The 16395-nt window shown below is 43.3% G+C and overlaps 1 protein-coding gene across 3 annotated transcripts in view; it reads right to left on the reverse strand.

Moving 5' to 3' along the window:
- Positions 1-16395, reverse strand: part of CES5A (carboxylesterase 5A) — a 109878-nt gene that overhangs the window by 595 nt on the left and 92888 nt on the right. For 2 of the 3 annotated variants that reach the window (NM_001190158.1, NM_001143685.2), the window contains 6 exons: positions 14664-14768; positions 12799-12939; positions 9629-9697; positions 6133-6280; positions 2876-3025; positions 20-92 (listed from right to left, as the gene is read on the reverse strand). In NM_001190158.1, coding sequence (NP_001177087.1) covers positions 20-92; positions 2876-3025; positions 6133-6280; positions 9629-9697; positions 12799-12939; positions 14664-14768 — 686 coding nt within the window. The remainder of the gene's footprint in view (positions 1-19; positions 93-2875; positions 3026-6132; positions 6281-9628; positions 9698-12798; positions 12940-14663; positions 14769-16395) is intronic. The other variant, NM_145024.3, reaches the window with a different exon arrangement.

The raw sequence follows: 16395 nt of genomic DNA on the forward strand, positions 1-16395 counted from the left end.
GACCGGGAGGTTTACTTACCCGGTTCGAGCAAAGGTAGCCCAGTATTTCATCATCTTCCGGCTCAGTAACTTCTCCTCCTCCGTGGCTCCTTCTGAAGGAGATAATCACAAAATGCTGCTGCTCTGGGTGAGGCTCGGGAAGCCCCGGGTGCCTTGTATTTGATTAATCCTTTTCACACCCCTCCTCCCACTGTAAACTTACAAGCCTACCAAGTCACTGTACCCATTTTATACATGCAGATACTGAGGCTCAGAGCAACCGGGACCTGTCCAAGGAACTGTGGCTTCCGAATGGTGGAAGCTGAACACACATCTTCCCTGTCCACCCCGTGTTCCTGCAGCCAGTCCCATGAGGCTGCAGGTTCCCTGGGGACACAGACCAGCTTGCTCCCTCTCTCTGTCTCTGTTTTCTCCTCTGTCTCTCTTCCTTCTCTCCATCCTCTCTTCCTTCTCTCTCCCTATCTCTCCCTTCCATCTCTCTTCCCTCTTTTTCTTCTCTCTCTCCCTCTCTCTCCCCTCTCTCTTCCTTCCCTCTCTCTCTTCCTTCTTTCTCCCTCTCTCTCTCCCTTCTCTCTTTCTTCCCTCTCTCTGTTCCTTCTCTCCCTGTCTTCCCTCTCTCTTGCTTCTCTCTCTTTTCCTTCTCTCTCTCCCTCTGCCTCTCTCCTCCCACACACATTTTTACAATTAATTTTTGTATTTCTTTAATAAAAAGTAGAAAATCCAAAATGCAGAAAGAGATCTAATATCCAATGAAAATGTTTCCCTTTCATCTCTTCCCTGCAGATGCCCAGTGACGAGCCTCAGAGGCACTTTCCCAAAGACAGGCTCTGCAGGTACCAGGGTATAAGCGGACACCTTTCTACACATCTGGCAGGAGACTGGACACGTATTCTACATATTGCTCTTTTTATTAAAATTGATCTCATATATAGGACTTGTCACTTATCAAACTGCCATTTGTTGTTCTATGAGCATGTAATATACAAAAACATTTATATGCAATCATATATAAATATATAATGTATATGTCATATTTCCGATCTTTTGCTGGTAAAAGTAATATTTTAGTGTGCATATATACTTTTGCACATGTGGAAGTATAATTACACAAAAACACTAGAAGTAGAATTGCCAGGCTAAAAACTACATGCATTTTAATCTATGTTATTTATTTTTATAAAGATGGGGTCTCACTCTGTCACCCAGGCTGGAGTGCAGTGGCATGATCATAGCTCACCGCAGCTTCCAACTCCTGGGCTCAAGCAATTCTTCCTGCCTCAGCCTCCCAAAGTGATGGCATTATAGGCATGAGCCACCACACCTGGCTAAGACTACACACATTTTTTTTTATTTTGTAAAAATAAAAACAATTTTTGAGACGGGAGTCTCACTCTGTTGCCCAGACTGGAGTTTAGGGCCATGATCACAGCTCACTGCAGCCTCGAACTCGGGCTCAAGTGATCCTCCCACCTCAGCCTCCTGAGTAGCTGGGACTACAGGTGTGTGCCACCATGCTTGGCTAATTTTGTTTGTTATTATTATTATTATTTTGTAGAGAGGGGGTCTTACTATGTTTCCCAAACTGGTCTGGAACTCCTGGACTCAAGCAATCCTCCCGCCTCAGACTCCCAAAGTGCTGGGATTACAGGTGTGAGCCACCATGCCCGGCCTTACATGCATTTTAAATGTTGATAGACTTCTCTATTAATGTATAAAATTGTTTCTCACACCTGCTTGAATACATTATTTTAAGTGTTTTGTTTTTTTCAACCTTGATTGATGAAAAATAATTCCTTGCTAAGGATGGTCTGCAGTTTTCTTGTTATGAGGGAGGTTGAGTGGATGTTCGTATGTTTAGAAGCCACTTGTGTTTTCTTTTCCGTGAACTATCTGTTTCTATCTGTTACCCAGTTTTCAATTAGGTTATTCTTTTCTTATTAATTTTAGGAGCTCTTCAGACATCAAGGAATTTAACCTTTTGATACATATGTTGTTGACTTTTTCCAGTTTAGGGAGTCCATGTGCCATTACATAGTATGGGCTCAGGAATGGTTGCTGAGAAATAACAGTGACGTTTATTAGGTATTCACTCTTACTTTATGGGGCTTATTTTATTTAATCCTTATGACAACCTAGGAGGAAGTTCTTTATTATCTGTGTTGTGAGGATGAAAAACTGAAATAATGAATAACCCACAGTGCACAAATACACTCTATATGGAACGTTCTGTCCTCTTTGTCAAGAGGCCAGTGTGAATAAGTTAAGAGCCTGCATTGTGTAATGTTTCTAACTAAATATTTTAGTGATAACTCCTGTGTGTAATCTTCCCTGTAATTTTTTTCTATTGATAACCTCATCTGATTGGTTTATTTTAGGCACCAAATATGTCATAAACTTAAGAATAAATGAGCTAACATCACAAGTAACATTTCACAAGCATTTACAAAGCTCTTCTGGGTGCAGACCACTTTGAGCTGGAATTATGAAAAACATGGTCCTTGCCTCTTAAAGCCTCAGGTTGTGGCCTCATGGGATTTCTGGGAAGGGGAGGGAGGGTAAGACCAGTGGTCAAAGAAAAGGAAGAAAATGGTTCTAGTATATTAAAAAAAAAAATATTTAGATTGCTTGAGTGCCCTGAAGTGGCCAAACCTGTAGGTTTCAGTACAAAGAGAAGCCCTCATCAAGCAACTGTCATGGCACTTTTTCATCCTGGCTTCTAAAAATGGAAGGGAGGGCATTTTCCAGAGAAAGGTTGTGTCCGCCTATAAACCACAGAGGTAATTAAATGCCAACCCCGAAGTCCTCCAGGCGCTTGCATCGTGGTGGGGTAAGCAAGGGGCTTCATGTGAACTGTGGGAAGTGGCCAGTCCCTTACCGAACATAACAATGTCCCCCTTCAGGAAGGCACCACCGAACACAAAGCGGACTTCATCAGCGTGGTCGGCTTTGACAAAAGCTGGCTTCGTGTCTTCAAAGCACTGAGGCCGGTGCCGAAACTCATAGAAGTAGACAGGTGCACCAGCATCTGACAAAAGGTCAGGGAAGGTCAGGCATGCATGCAGCGCGGAGCAGGGGGCTGGCTCTGTGTCCCCACCTATCAAGTCTTGGATGTATAGACCCAGGGGTGGGACAGCTCAGAGACAGCTCACTTCCCCCTTCCTCATTTGAGGCTGGAATTTCCTGCTACAGCAGTGCTCATATCCCTAGTGATGAAGAGCTCACGTCTGAGAAGGCAGTAGTTCTGCTTCTCAAAAGAAGTCCTCTATATTCAGCCAAGATCTACTTTGTTGGGACTTTCTCTCAAAGTTCAAGTCTTTTACCCATTATTGGAAAATACTTTCTTTTCATTACTGAACTGTAAGGGTTCTTCTATTCTGGATATGATTATTTTGTCAAATAATTGTACTATGAATATTTTCTTCCAGTCTGTGGTCTGCCTTCTCATTTTCTTAACAATATTTTTAAAGCAAAATGTACATAAGTGAAATCTGCCCCTTGAACCATTTTAAAGTATATAATTCAGCGGTTTTTAGTACATTTAGGATGTTGTGCAACTATCACCACTATTTAGGTCCAGAACCTTTTCATCACCCCAAACAGAAACCTCAGACCCATTTAGCAGACACTCCCCATTGGCCCCACTTCTCAGCTTCTGGAAAACACAATTCTACTTTCTGTGTCTATGGCTTTGCCTAATCTGAACATTTCGTATAAATGGGATCATACAACATGTGGCCCTTTGTGCCTGACTTCTTTCACTTAGCAAAATGTTTACAAGGCTCATCTGTGTTGTAGCATCCGTCCGTATTTCATTTCTTTTTATGGCAAAATGATAATCCATTGTAAGTATATACTGAATTTTGTTTATCGATTCATCAGTTGATGAACATTTGGGTTTTAACCATTTTGACCTATAATGAACAAGAGTGCTATGAACATTCATATACAATTTTTGTTTGAACGTCAGTTTTCAATTATCTTGAGTATATCCCTAGGACTGGATTTGCTAGGTTATATGGAAACTCTACGTTTACCTTTTTGAGGAACGGCCACAACTTTTTTCCACAGTGGCTGCACTGTTTTATGTCCCCAGCAGCAGTGTATGAGAGTTTTGGTTTCTCTATGTCCTTCACACTTGTTCTTACTCCTTTTCTTTTTAAAAAAATTATAGCCACCCTAGTATATGACACATGCAAAAGAATAAAGGTAGATTCTTCCCTCATAGTATATAGAAAAACTAACTCAAAATGGATCAAAGACCTAAATGTAAAACTAAAACTGTAAACCTCTTATAAGAAAATATAGTGGTAAATTTCCATACCCTTGAATTTGGCAGTGGATTCTTATATATGACACCAAAACCACAACCAACAAAAAAGTGAATGAATTCTATTTCATCAAAATTAAAAACTACTGTGCAACTTTTGTACATTATCAACAGAGTAAGAAGGCAACCCGGCAACCCACAGAATGGGAGAAAATATTTGCAAGTCATATATCTCATAAGGGATTAATTTCCACAATATATAAGGAACTCTTAAAACTCAGCAACAAAAAACAACTCAATTCAAAAATGGGCAAGGGTCTTAAACGTTTCTCCAAAAACATATATACAAATGTCCAATAAGCACATGAAAAGATGCTCAACATCTCTAATAATTAGGAAAATGGAAATGAAAACCATAATGAGATACTACTTCAAACCCATTAGAATAGTCATTATTTAAAAAACAACAACAGAAGAAAATAACAAATGTTGGTCAAGATGTCGAGAAATTGCACCCCTTGTGCATTGCTGGTAGTAATGTAAAATGGTGCAGACACAGTGGAGAACAACATGACAGTTCTTCAAAGAAATTAAACATAGCATTACAGATGATCCAGAAATTCTACCTCTGGCATATACCTCAAATAACTGAAAACAGGGACTTGAACAGATATTTCTACAACTATGTTCATTGCAGCATTATAGCCAATAGGCAAATGTAGCCAATAGCCAATTGTTCCTTGCACAATAGCTGAATGGTGGAAACAACGCAAATGTCCATTAATGAATAAATGGATACACAAAATGTGATATATACATACAATGGAACATTAGTCAGCCTTAAAAAAGGAGGAAATTCTGATGTATAGTACAGCATATAGGAATCCTGAGACCTTATGCTACGTGAAATAAGCCAGACAAAAGGACAAATATTGAATGATTCAACTTACATTGAGTAACTAAAGTCACTAAAGTAACTAAAAAGTCAGTCATAGAGACAGAAAGTAGAATGGTGGTTATTGGGGTCTGGGGGAAGGAAGGGTGGGGAGTTATTTTTAATAGGTACTGATTTTCAGTTTGGGATGATAAAAACGTTCTGAAGATGTATAGCGGTGATGGTTGTACAACAATATGAATGTACTTGATACCATTGAACTATACACTTAAAATGGTTAAAATGGTAAATTTTTTATTAAGCATATTTAACTACAATTTTTAAAATGTAAAAAAGAGTATGCCATTTCATTTATAAATATTTGTGAATTTTCCAGATTTCCTTTTGTTATTGATTTCTAATTTCATTGCCTTGTGGTCGAAGAAGATACTCTGCATGATTTCCATCCTTTTACATTCATTGGGATTTGTTTGGTGATCTAACATATGGTTTATTCTGGAAGATGTTGCATGTGCACTTGAGAAGAATGTGGAATCTAATGTTATGGGGTGGAGTATTTGGCTGCATTTAAAATAGTTGATTTAAAGTCGATTACTTTAGGAGTTCCATTACTCCTTATAGCTGTAATGTTTGTTCCATTACTACGTATGGCTAAGATGTTGGGGAAGACATTTCTAGAAAGAAAAAATCCTTGGGGATGGCGCCCAGAAAATTATAGGGAGATGAGAATTTTATACATGGTCCTGAAGAAGGGGAAGAAACAGAAACAACTGATCAACATCCCCAAACTCTGAAAGGCAGGTGAATGACGCAGGTCCCCATGGCATGTTTCCATCCAGGCACACCTGGAAATGCACTTTCCATGATAGAACAGAGGCAGAGAAGGCAGCCGCTCAGTAGACAATATGGATTTCCGTGGCCACCAGCCTCACTGGGCTATGGTCCTGGAGCGGGATGCTCAGATACTCACCTCTGTGATATCGAGCTGTGATCAGTGCAGGGACCACAAAGAACACATCTCCAAGCAAGTCCAGAAGACTGTCTCGGATTTCAGTCAGGGAGTGCTTGTCATGGAAGTATTCATTAGCCACAAGGTGCAAATACTGAGGCGGGATGTGCTGTAAAAATATCGTAGTCCTAGGAGATCCAGGTCAACCACAATGGCCAACACGTTAAACACTCACCTGTGCAGGTATGATTCTGAATGCTTTACCCACATTGCTTCATTTAACCCACACAGCAACCCTATGATGCAAGTATCAAAACTAGCCCTGTTTCACAGATTAAGAAACTGAGGCTTAGAGAGGTGAAGTGGTTGGGTCCAACTGGAAGAACCATGATTCTTTCACAAGTCTATTTGCATCCAAATCCCATGCTCCTGACCACAGGCTTCTCTCTCATGTCTCAGAATGAGTCACTTCTGGGCAGAACTGGCTGCATCATCGTGGAGCTCAGTGCAAAGTAAAAACATAAACTGCTTGTTCAAAAAATCATTAAGAATTTCAAGATGGTAACAGCGGAGCACTAAACCAAATGTAGGACCCTTCTGAGCAACAAGGTCCTCTGTGACTACACGGGCAGAACATCCATGAAACCAGCCCTGTTCCTGGTACCAGTGCTGCCTCCAGCCCTTAGCTATTATCTTACCTAAGCTAGTTGGTCTCTTGGAGCCTCAGTTTCCTCCTCTGTAGGGATGTGGAGGATTATATGAGATGTGAAGAGAAAAGTATGCTGCTTGCCCCAGAGCAGTTCTTTAGTCCTGTTGTTTCCCCTGGGCCCCATTGCTGAGCGCCTTAATAGGACATTCGATGCTTCTCTGACCTGGCACCAGCCTGCCTCCCAGGCTTCTCCCTCTCAACTTTCCCTAGGCACTAATGGCAGAGAGTGCATGGTAAATTCCATGAAGATTCAGGGATCCGGTGCTCTAGGAAATGCTGGAAAGGTGTTGCAGCTCAAACCCCTACCACTAAGACAGCAGCCCTTGATGGGTTTCTTTGGAATTTGGAGGCAAGGAAGTGTACACCACATTGGGGAATGCTGCTCAGACTCGTTTATTGGGTCCTCAGGAGGCTGGTGGTTTTTAATCAGGCCAGAGCAAGGGAGGCCTCTGCAGTAGGTCCAGTCTATGGTATAAGGGCCTGGCCTCTTTGGCCATATAGCCAGCAGACTCCATGGTGCTGGTGATGTCCAAGGTGGGTATAGATGCTATGTGGAGTCTCAGGTGAGTCCTCATAGGACAGTCAGCGTGCAAAATCCTAGGGTTCTGGGGTAAGACTATGACTTCTGCATCAGAGAACTACTTACTGTTTAAAAAGCAGCCCCTAGCATGCTACTGTGCCTAGGAGAAACACATGCCCTTCCATTCCTCTTGCACTTTCCCGCACAGCCTACTTCCCACTCTACTTGAAATGTCCTTCTGCTCAGTTGTTCCCCTCACCTATGGCTTAGATCAATGAGCATCTTCTCCATGAGGCCATCTCCAATCCACCTGAGAATTCCACTGTATAACTTATATCATCAATATCTCTCAAACCTTAGTCCCAATTCATCATCAGACAGCTGCAACTCGTCAAACATCCCTCCACCAAGGGGGCCTGAGGGATATCTGCCTGTAGTGTTTCTTTTTTTTTTTTCTTTTTTTTTTTTTGAGACAGAGTCTCTCGCTCTGTTGCCCAGGCTAGAGTACAGTGGCGAGATCCTGCAGCTTCAAATTCCCAGGCTCAACAATCCTCCTGCTTGGCCTCCCAAGTAGCTGGCACCACAAATGCACACCACCAGGCCTGGCTAATTTTTTTATTTTTTGTAGAGACAAGGTCTCCCTGTGTTGCCCAGGCTTTTCTTGAACTTCTGGGCTCAAGCAATCCTCCTGCCTTGGCCTCCCAAAGTGCTGGAACTGCAGATGTGAGCCACCATGCCCAGTTTCAGAGGGCTTTTTCTAAAATAGAAATCAAATGTCCTTCTTCCTTCTGTTCTCAGTCTTTAGGATGAAGTCTATGTTCATTACATAGCTTACAACAGCTGAAAGCATTCTCTCCTGCTGCAGCCAACCCTCAGCTGATCTCTTCACACCCCTCTGCTCCCAGTTGGTCCTCTTGGTTCTTCCCAGTTTCTCCACCCACCCCTTCCATCACCAGACAAGCTCCATTAATCCTCCAAATCCTTCTCCCCAAGAGAGCTGCCTGTCCCCTCCTGTGGGCACCACAGAGCCTTGGACATCCCTGTGCTTCCTGTGTACTGTATTGAAGTGTCTTGTCATCTCTGTCCACCCCACATTGCACCCCAGTGCCCAGGGAAGTGCAGGGGCATGTGGACTCTCACTACACATGTGTTCCATGGACAAGTGAACAAAATGAACATCGGCACTGAGTCCATACTGAATAAACGTTTATGGAAAAAGAGGAAGATGGAAAAAGGAGAAAAGAAAGGAAGGAAAACAATCCATCTCTATATCCTAGTGTCTAGAGTAAGATCAGATACTGCTAAGTTTGTGCAGTGAATGAATGAATTAGTGATGGAACAATAAATGAGTGAATGAACGAGTAAATGACTGGTCTTGCAGAACCTGGCCTGATGCCTGGCTGGTGTGTAGTGAATACAGATCCCCAGTCCCATGTGTGTTTCAGCATTCAGAGCTTTTCAGACTGTAGGTAGATAATGCAGCACCTATGCTGCGTGTTATGACACAGGCTCAGGGTGGGGGAAACACCCCAACACCCACATTAATGCATCCACAGAGAAACATCTGAATAGTGGGATAAATAAAATGAATAAATGTGTGGGAACAAAAATGACTGATAGCCACAAATCAGTCAAGGTCTGGTTCGGCTGCTGGGTGGGTTACAAAAAGCCTCTGGGTTTTTGGAGCTCTTCCAGGTCGGGGATTGTGGATTGGGTTTGTGGGACTATTGATATAGTTTCGACCTGTGTCCCCCACCAAATCTCATGTTGAATTGTAATCTCTAATGTTGGAGGTGGGGCCTGATGGGAGGTGATTGGATCGTAGGGGCAGTTTCTCATGAATGGTTAGCACCACCCCTTTGGTGCTGTTCTCATGATAGAGTTCTCATGAGATTTGGTTGTTTAAAAGTGTGTGGCACCTCCTCCCTCTCTCTCTTCCTCCTGCTCTGGCCATGTAAGACATGACTTCTTCCCCTGCACCTTCCACCATGATTGTAAGTTTCCTGAGGCCTCCCGAGAAGCTGAGCAGATGCCAGCATCAAGCTTCCTGTACAGCCTGCAGCATCATGAGCCAATTAAGCCCCTTTTCTTTATAAATTACCCAGTCTCAGGTATTTCTTAATAGCAGTGCAAGAGTGGACTAATACACCTATGCTTAGTAAAGGTCTATTGAATGACTGAGTGAGTGAGGAGTGTCTGTGCCCTTGGCTTCTCCTGCTGAGTGTGACCTAGGGCTATCTGTTAAGTGCATGTGTCTCTGGAGTACTGCAGCCTCCCAAGCTACTCACCAGGATGTTTTGTATCAGATGGAGGGCAAGGGACTTGTTGGAGCCACTGAGGATCTCAGGAGCCTCCTTCTGTGGAGAGAAGCGTGCCCTCTGTAAGCCATCTGGTCATGAGAAGGTAAACCCATCTCCCCAAGGGCCTGGGCAGCTGACTTTCACAGGGGAAGTTGGATAAGGAGCCCTCAAGCCCAAGCAGCCACATGTGGAAGTGGCCTCAGTGTGCTTGTCAGATAGTTAATTTCTTCTCACTTTTGATAAAAGGCAGCTGTTCCTTGTCATTCCACCTGCAGCCTTGTGGGGCCCAAGTGGCCACCTTGTGGGAAGGCTCCCATTATGGGCTTAATTGTGGCCCCCTCAAAATTTACACGTTGAAGCCTTAACCCCCTGCAATTCAGAATGTGACTATTTGGAGTTAGTACTTTTAGAGGGGTGATTACATTAAAATGTGGCTGTTAGAGTGGGTCCTAATCCAATCTGGCTGATGTCCTTATGAGAAAAGAAAGTTTACACACACAAAGCGGTATCAGCACCTTGACCTCGGACTTCCAGTCCCTAGAACTGTGAGAACATGAATGTCTGTGGTGTAAGCCTCCCAGTCTATGGTATTTTATTATGGCAGCACTGACTGCCTGAGAGGCCCCAACTTGGCTTTGACACCAAGTTCAAAGAGAAGCCAGAAAATTTCCAAACTGGTGTTTGTTGTTCTCCTTCTAAAGACCTTTGTGGGTGGGGCCACAAAGAAGAGAAGCCACAGTGGGAGGTCAGGCAGTGGCTGAAAACACAGGCTCCCTGAGCTGCCCTCAACAGCTGAGAACTTGGCAAGGGACTCAACTCTTCCTGCCTCAGGCTCCTCATCTGTAAGATGGAGTTTGCAACAAGTACCTCCCGCGAGGGTGGTGATGAGAACTGAGCGAGTTGATATTTGTAAAGCTCTTACAATGGTACTTGGTATGTAGTAAGTGCTTCCTGTGATTATTTGTTAAATTACCACTTTCTGGCAAAATTACCGCTTTAAAATGTGAGGCAGCAGAAACGCTATCCACTTGACAAATGAATTTTCTTGGTATGTTTTCTGCTGAAAATCTTGGGGTAATGATTCACTAGGGCTGATACCTAAATGAATACTAGGGCAGTACCTGCCTCCTGGAATCTCAGGGAATCCTCAGAGTCATTTAAATTATCCACAAGCATATTTTAACTACTAAAAACCTTATCTGTACATTAAGGAGCTGGGATTTGTTTCTTGGGGATTTCCTGTGGCCTCTAACAGCTAGCAAGGGGTTTAACTGCAAATTCACATGGAATTTCAGCACCCACACAGGCTTTTGAACTCTGCAAATTCTGTCACTTGAATAACTCCAATATCTAGCATTTACTGAGCACTGACTATATGCCAGGCTTTTTGATGTATACCTGTGAGGCAGGTGCTAAGATTAGCCCTATTTCACAGATGAAGGAATGGAAGCTCAGAGAGGGTGGGCAACTCCCCTAATATCACACAGCAGGTAAACAGAGAACTCGATATTTAAAGGGAGAGCCTAGGCTGGGTACCAGCCCATGCCTGTAATTCCAGCACTTTGGGAGGCCAAAGCAGGTGGATCACTTGAGGTCAGGAGTTGGAAACCAGCCTGGCCAACATGGTGAAACACTGTCTCCACTAAAAATACAAAAAAAAATTAGCTGGGCATGGTGGTGGGTGCCTGTAATCCCAGCTACTCGATAGGCTGAGCCAGGAGAATCACTTGGACCCAGGAGGTGGAGGTTGCAGTGAGCCAAGATCCACCACTGCACTCCAGCCTCAGCAACAGAGAGAGACTCTGACTCAAAAATTAAATTAGATTAAATTAAATTAAAAAGGCAGAGCCTAAATGCATAAAAATTATACACCCCTGTCTCCTTACTAGCCAGGAGATGTTAGAAAGCCACTTTAGCTGCTCTGAGCCTCAGTTTCTTTAAAATAGGGAAAATCATGCCTGTTTTCAAGTTGTTGCTTGGACAGCCTGTGCTTGGCACTGGAAGGCACTGGGGAACTGGTTACAGTAGTTACAGTGGTGATTGTCATCACTAGCACCTGCCTTCTTCTTTCTAACACACACCCAGAAATCACTGAAAGGCCTTACTTAAGCCATGAACTGCGATTCAGTGGCCTCGTCTGCAACATGAGGACAAAAATCCCTAGTCCCACTTCAAAACATTGCCCTGGAGGTCAAATTAATAATGGCAGAACATGCTTTCACAACTCAATGAACTTGAGACTGGTTCTAGACAGCCAACAACTAGCTTTGTAATTTGACAAACCTCTTTATTTCTTAACCCTATTTCCTCCAGCTTAAAATAAGGAGGCCAATCTATATAAATGAGCTTCAACAGTATTAGGAATTTGAAGTCTCCACTCCTCTGAGGACAGATGAAAAGTTTATTTCCAATGAAGAGAGTCTTCCTATGCCACGGAATCAAAAAATCATGGGTCTTTCCCAGCACCTGGGCCTCAGCTCAACAATCACTCCCTAGAAGAGCGTTTCCTGACCACCTGTTATCCTCCCTAAAGATACCTTCTCTCCTCACTTGTGTCCTTCATATATCTATCACTCTCTGAAATCATCTTCTCAATCTCGTGTCTTATCTGTCTCTCCCCACCAGAGTGTAAGCTCCCAGAAAGCTCATATGCTCAGTTTTTGTAAGCCTCTAATAAATGCTCAGTACATACTTGTTGAAAAAATAAAATGATTTAACAATTTTGCAGCTTATGCAACCTTAGCATTCAGGGATGTCAAAATGCCAGAACCAAGGCTGGATGTGAAAAATTTGAAGGACTGAAGTTTTTCAAACCTATCTGAATGTCAGCTCTGAAGTGGTAACTGCATTTTTTGGAAACAATCATTTATAATACTGTTTGAACAAAGACCAAATGGACCGATCCCCTCTTTCCTTTTTATACAGTTGTTTCTTCCGCCCTAAACCTCATTACATGAGAAGCAAGGCAGACACTTGCTGTGACTGTCCCGGTCCTCACTTGCCCTCTTTCAGAGAGAGTAAAGGTGATCACTGTGTGCTTGGCTGGTGGGCTCCAGCACTTACAATACCTGATGTCTTCTGTGGAAATGCCCAGCTGTTGAAGCCAAAGCTGCATCACGGTTTGAGGGAGTGGCAGTATGGACAGCCAGAATTCTTACCATAGGCAGCAGGAAGCCACACTCGTGGTTATTGACTCCGATGATGGAAGGAATTGCTTTAAATGCTTTCTGAGACAATAGATCTAGAGGCTCATTAGGAAAGAAAGCACCATCAACCACTCGAGTGAAAGACTTTGTTTTCTGTAATAAGGAAGAAAAAAAAATCATCAGCTATCATCAGCTATTTCTGTTCACAAAATCTGCTGTCCCAAATCCTGGCCAAGAAAAGCCAACCCAGTCTAGCACTGGCTTAAATGCACTTAAAAAGTAAAAACAAACACTATGGGCCCAGCTCAATATATCAGTCCCTGGAAGCTCTGCCATGTACTTGGGTGAGGGGGCTAAACTTGTCTGTGCCTTATTTTCTCATCTGCTAAATGGGAATAATAATAATATCTACCAAGAAAAACAGTGGCCTGTTATATGGTTTGGCTGTGTCCCCACCCAAATCTCAAATTATAGCTCCCATAATTCCCACATGTTGTGGCAGGGACCTGGTGAGAGGTAATTGAATCATGGGGGCAGGTCTTTCCCATGCTATTTGCATGATAGTGAATAAATCTCATGAGATCTGATGGTTTTATAAAGGGGAGCTCCCCTGAACAAGCTTTTTTTTTGCCCACCACCATGTAAGATGTGCCTTTGCTCTTCCTTCACCCTCTACCATGATTGTGAGACCTCCCCAGCCATGTGGAACTGTGAGTTTATTAAACCTCTTTCCTTTATAAATTACCCAGTCTCAGGTATGTCTTTATTAGCAGCATGAGAAGAGACTAATATAGCCTAGCCCAGAGATTCTCAAAGTGTGGTTCCTAGACCAGCAGCATCAGCATCATCTGGGAACTTGTTATAAATGCACATTCCAGGCCCACTTCAGGCTCCTCAATAAGAAACTCTGGGGTTGGGGTGTATAGCCCAGGAACCTTCTTGTAGCTGGTCCTCCAGGTGATCCTGATGCATGTTTAAGTTTGAGAACCACTGGCCAAATGCAAAGGGAAAAATGGTGGTAGATGAAGTGGTCAGGACTGTAGGGGTTGTAGGAGACTGTAGGTGTCTCCCTGAGACACAGTGCCTTGGACATGCCTGGATATTTTTTGGGTCTCAGAAAGCAACACTCAGCCCTAGTCATGGTTTCTTTAGGTTTCTGTTTTGAGATTTGGGTAGAAAGGAGCACATGGAAGAGTTCGACACATCAGGTCCAGGACTTATTATCCATTTCACTGAGTCTAGCATGGCTCAGAGTGGACATTCAGTACACACCACATAACTAGCAAATATTGAAATCTGAAAGATAATGATCTTGTCCATTCAAAGACTGTCATCAAAGGCTCTCAAGATTGGAAGGGACATAAAAGATCACCCGGTCCAATTAACTGTCACTGATTGAAAGTTTGTCAGCAGTCAGCTAGATTTTGCTTGAATACCTGGAGAGGTGGGCATCTCACTACCTTCTAAAGGAGCCCAGTCCTTTTCCAGACAACTGAGGTCTTGGAAGGTTTTCAGTTACACAAAACTAAAATGACTTCCTAATAGAACTTCCAGCTCCTGATTTTGACTTCAGCTTCTGGAAGCATGCATAACAAGTGTGGTCCTTCTCTCCAGTGAGATGCTTTCAGGGACTTAGAGACAAGCCTTGTACTTTGCTGAATCTTCTCCAGGCTAAGTTGAACCCCTGCCCCAACAATTTTCTTAAATTACCTACAAGGGTTCTATATCCCTACTTATTTTTTTACAGCTGTTACCAAGTACCTCAATCCTCCTCTTTTCTATGTTCCAAATTCAAATAAATAACAGAGGGGTAGGATTTGTTCATCTCTCCGTTCGAAGGGCAAGCCTGCCCCCAAAACTGCCCCCTCTGTCCTCACCTGGCTGAGGGTCAGCAGCTCCTTGGAGGGTTTTGTCCTCAGGCACCTCAGCAGGGCCTCAGAGTCTGACGCATTGTTACCACAGAAATGTGCAACCACCTGCAGCTATTTTGTAGAGAAGGACCGGGTTAGAGCATGATATTGAAAGCATCTAGGAAAATGAAAGCTTGAAAATGCCCTCCAATCAGCCACAGGCTGGCCCTCCATATATGAGTCCATCCTGCTAACACTGCCTAGACCCACACCCCTATAATTGAAGGTGCACATGGTGGACAGTTTCCCACTGCATCACCCTCAGTCTCTTGCCTGGCTCTCCTTGTCATCTTTAGTAAACACCACAGCTGGAGATGGGAGTTTGTCAGTCTGTGGCTGTGGAATGGAATCAAGATTCCTGGTCACAAAGAGATCAGTCCTGTGAGCTTGGCTGCATTGGTATTTTGCCCCTCTGGAGTCTAGAAGCCCAACCTTGAGGTGCTGAATGAAGACAAACACCAAGAGTGAGGAGCAGCTTTGGAAGCTCCTTCATTGTCAGTACAGGCAGGACTCCAGATCAGATTCTCAGCTTGTCAGCCCTGCCCAAGCCCCAGGCCCACTCACAGCCTGGAATGTCCTACCTGTCTTTTTCCCTGCCTCTATACCAATCCTTTTCATTCTTTAAGGCCCAACTCCTTCCCTCCACGATGTCCTTTCAGGGCATTGCAGCCCCCAGAAACCCCTTCCTCATCCAATCTCCTATAAGCTCGATGTTCCCCACCTTCCATGCCTGGCCCATTGCTGAACATCTGCTTTCCTTGTCACTGAACCTCCATATTTGTAGAACTCACTCCCTGAAAGTGGTGGTTCTTAATCTTCTGGGAGTCATGGATACTCTGAGAATCCAGTCAAAGTTACAGACCCTCTCCCTGGGAAAACGTGCAAGCATGTGGAGTCTGGTACAGTTGTGGAACCGCTTCCCAAACCTATCCATGGATTGCAGGATTTAATCCTATCCATGGATAGGTGATAAAAAGATTATATTGCCCTCAAATTTAGGATGTGCTTTCTCCACTGATAAATCCCAAAGTTCTAACAGAGCAGGGAAAATAGTGGGCACTCAGTGATGTGTGTCAAATGAATAAATATATGCCCAAACTGAAAATAGCTTTATGGAGAATGTTACCAAAATCAATATTTCTGTGTATTGAGGGAATTTTTTTAAATTGCATAACTCTATGTTTCTGCTCTTGGTATATACTGTTATTTTCTGTAAGATGTTTAAGAAAATTTACCACAAAAATGATTTATACTCAAGAGATGGCTGCACAGCCCAGTGCTTAATTAATATGCATTGAATGAAACAGCTCATTCATTAACTCATTCATCCGGAACACTTATGGCTGCCTGATATATACCAGGTATTATGCTGGGGGCCTGAAGGACAGAGAGATCCTGGTCTCTAGGGCATCACTATCTAGTAGATAATTAAGACAAGAGACAGATGACAAATATCGTGGGATAGATGCCCCTTATAATCCCATGCCAGACAACGTGAATCAGTCACAGCATTATTTCCCACTGAGCTGGAAACAGCCTCTGAATCTTTCTTAACATAATGCCCTGGGTATTCATTCCCAGTAGAGTAGCGTAGGCACAGAAGAACTGTATAGAATACAGGGGACTGACTTATCTATCACAAGCAAAGAATAACGGGTAAGACATAAGAACCATAACGCACATACACACACACTTGTGC

This window comes from Homo sapiens, chromosome 16 (assembly GCF_000001405.40).
Source record: "Homo sapiens chromosome 16, GRCh38.p14 Primary Assembly".
NCBI lineage: Eukaryota > Metazoa > Chordata > Mammalia > Primates > Hominidae > Homo > Homo sapiens.